Below are 3,071 nucleotides of genomic sequence, written 5' to 3'. Positions count from 1 at the left end.
GACTTTCCAGAAGTCACATAGTAAATCACTGTTGAAGACTTGACCCTTTGTTTATTGGATCACAAATGCATTTTAAGAATATTTGGTTTGCATTCACTCTTTGAAGGCCAAGGCAGAAGAAAAGCATGTTTTAAAATGACATATCTACAGGTAGATGAGAAAATACTTTTTTTTTTTTTTGAGGCGGAGTTTCGCTCTTGTTGCCCAGGCTGGAGTGCAGTGGCATGATCTCCGCTCACTGCAACCTCCGCCTGCCGGGCTCAAGTGATTCTCCTGTCTCAGACTGCTGAGTAGCTGGGATTACAGGCACCCGCCACTACGCCCGGCTAATTTTTGGTATTTTTAGTAGAGAGGGGGTTTCACCATGTTGGCCAGGCTGGTCTCAAACTCCCGACCTAAGGTGATCCGCCCACCTCGGCCTCCCAAAGTGCTGGGATTACAGGTGTGAGCCACTGCACCTGGCCGAGAAAATACATTTTTAATAGAAAGGGGAAAACTCTCCTGATTTCTGCCTTGCTGAGTCTCTTTAGGTTTTGTGGGTCTTTCTGCCTTTCCTGCTTTTCCAATGTTCTCCCCTTGCATTGATTCTCCTTTTTCTTCCCTCCTGTCTCTTAGCAGTCCAGTCAGCAGTTTTGTCCCCAGGATGCTTTGCTTTTTTTTTTTTTTTTTTTCTGCCAGCCCTTTCCTGCCAGCCGCCAGGGCCTCCCCACCCTCCTGACTTCCTTGGTTGATCCTGTGCAGAAGTCGATAGCTTATCTCCACGCAGCAACCAGAAAGTGAGATGGTGAGTGCAGAAGCCAGCAACCCTGAGCATCTTGGGAAATGGCCTGCTGTTGTGAGCAGCTCTGCCCCCTACCCAACCCTACCCCCAAGCAAAGATCACCCACAGATACCTTTTGCCTGTCTGGTCTGTTATCCTACAATCAGAGGGGTCACTGGATTGGGAAAGAAAAAAGAAAAGGCACTGGATAGCTGGGGATGCACCACATGCCCTTGTCCTTCAGATGTCTAACTCAAAGGGAGTTCAAGTGCTGGTTTTGTCTCTGATGTGCTGTGCAATATCAGAAAGGTCACTCAGTCTCTGAAACTCCAATTTCAGTAGGCAAGTAGGCCCCAACCATAGTGGGCCTTTATGTATTTGAATCCAGGTTCAGAGCCCTAGTAGGTCCCAAGGAATGGAAAGTAATTGCTGTTTCCAGTAACTTCTGTTGGGGCATGCCCTTACCCTCTAGCACTTCCCTCTTCTGTCACTCTGTTCTGCACTCCAATGGTTAGACAAGGAAATTTTGTCCCTGGCAAAGATTTTCTCACCTGGAGTCCTCCCGGGTTCAATTCTGAGAACACCTGGGAGTTGGAAGTACATTTTTCATCAATTCTTTTTTTTTTGGAGATGGAGTCTCACTCTGTCACCCAGGCTGCAGTGCAGTGGCGCAATCTTGGCTCACTGCAGCCTTTGCCTCCTGGTTCAAGTGATTTTCCTGCCTCAGTCCCCTGAGTAGCTGGAACTACAGGCACCTGCCACCATGCCTGGCTAATTTTTGCATGTTTAGTAAAAACGGGATTTCACCATTTTGGCCAGGCAGGTCTCGAACTCCTGACCTTGTGATCCGCCGGCTTCGGCCTCCCAAAGTGCTGGGATTACATGTGTGAGCCACTGCGCCTGGCCCAATTTTTTTTTTTTTTTTTGAGACGGAGTCTCTCTCTGTTGCCCAGGCTGGAGTGCAGTGGCCGGATCTCAGCTCACTGCAAGCTCTGCCTCCTGGGTTCACGCCATTCTCCTGCCTCAGCCTCCCAAATAGCTGGGACTACAGGTGCCCGCCACCACGCCCAGCTAATTTTTTGTATTTTTAGTAGAGACGAGGTTTCACTGTGTTAGCCAGGATGGTCTTGATCTCCTGACCTTGTGATCTGCCCGCCTCGGCCTCCCAAAGTGCTGGGATTACAGGCATGAGCCACTGTGCCCGGCCCAATTCTTAATCTAATAAATATTCAACTTCTCTGCTAGAAAAATATTTTCCATTCCCACAGGCAATAAAAAGTAGAGAAATCCCTTCGTGTTTTGCTTCAGTCTAAGTCAGTAGTTCTCAACAGGGAGTGATTTTGTACCTCTTCATTCCCCCAAACACAGGGGATATCTGTTGTTATCTGAAGGCATTTTTGGTTGTCACAACTGGGAGGGGGTTGCTATGGGCATCTAGTGGGTAAAGGCCAGGGATGTCCCTGAACATCTTACAATGCACCAGTCAGCTCCCTACATCAGAGAAGGATCTGGCCCAGAATGTCAATAATGCTGAGGTCGAGAAACCCTGGTCTAAGTCATCATTAAGCAAGGTCCTTGGTGGAGTTTTGGGAGCTCACAGAATGTGGAGTTGGCATGGGCTTGCCCTCACAATGCTCCTGTATAATCTGGGTTAGGAGGCATCTTGTCTGATAAGAGAGACATAGTTCTTAACTTTGTGCTTGGGGAGTTTATAGTTTAAAGAGAATTGTATAGAAACATGATGCATTTAACCAATATTTATCCATTTAACATGTATTAATTGAGCTCCTATTGTATTCCAGGTTCTATGTATGGCACTAAAGATGCCCTAAATGAGTTCCCACTCCATGCACCTGGGAGAGAGTTTTCCTTCCCCTCAGTCCTGTTTCCAGTTACCACGGTGGGCAAGTTTTGCCTAATATGCTTGTGGGTGGGAAGGAAGGATATTCCAGAAGAATAAAAGGTAGTATAAAGAGATGCTAGAGAGCTGAGTACTTACAACACAGAGTATATGATGAACAGCACTTAGAAAAGTAGAAGCCAAACTTGTGGGAAGGAAAAAAAAAGACTTGAGTTTCATTGTAAGAGCAGGCATGCCTCCTGGAGTCAAGAAGGCAGCCCAGCACTGGAGACGCTGCTCAGACTTGAGACTGGTAACTGCGGTCAGACCCGGGTCAGGTGATTGGAATTCCCTCAGCTGCATGACTAACAGGATTCAACATGGACAGCCCCGCTCTTCAACATGCTTTGGAGCTCACAGCAAGTGTTCTGTGAACATGGTAGAAAGAGAGAAAACTTAGCAAGCACAGTG

The 3,071-nt window shown here is 47.3% G+C and overlaps 1 long non-coding RNA gene across 1 annotated transcript; it reads left to right on the top strand.

The window, feature by feature from the left end:
• Window positions 1–699: 699 nt before the first annotated feature.
• On the top strand, window positions 700–2,737 carry LOC124904019 (uncharacterized). Its single transcript, XR_007065828.1, has 2 exons — window positions 700–784; window positions 2,563–2,737. It is a non-coding gene; the product is annotated as an uncharacterized LOC124904019 (long non-coding RNA).
• Window positions 2,738–3,071: the final 334 nt, after the last annotated feature.

The sequence above is a fragment of the Homo sapiens genome, chromosome 17 (genome assembly GCF_000001405.40).
Source record: "Homo sapiens chromosome 17, GRCh38.p14 Primary Assembly".
In the NCBI taxonomy this organism is placed as follows: Eukaryota; Metazoa; Chordata; class Mammalia; order Primates; family Hominidae; genus Homo; species Homo sapiens.
Note: the sequence above shows the minus strand (reverse complement) of the source record. Positions and strands in the feature narration are given on the sequence as shown.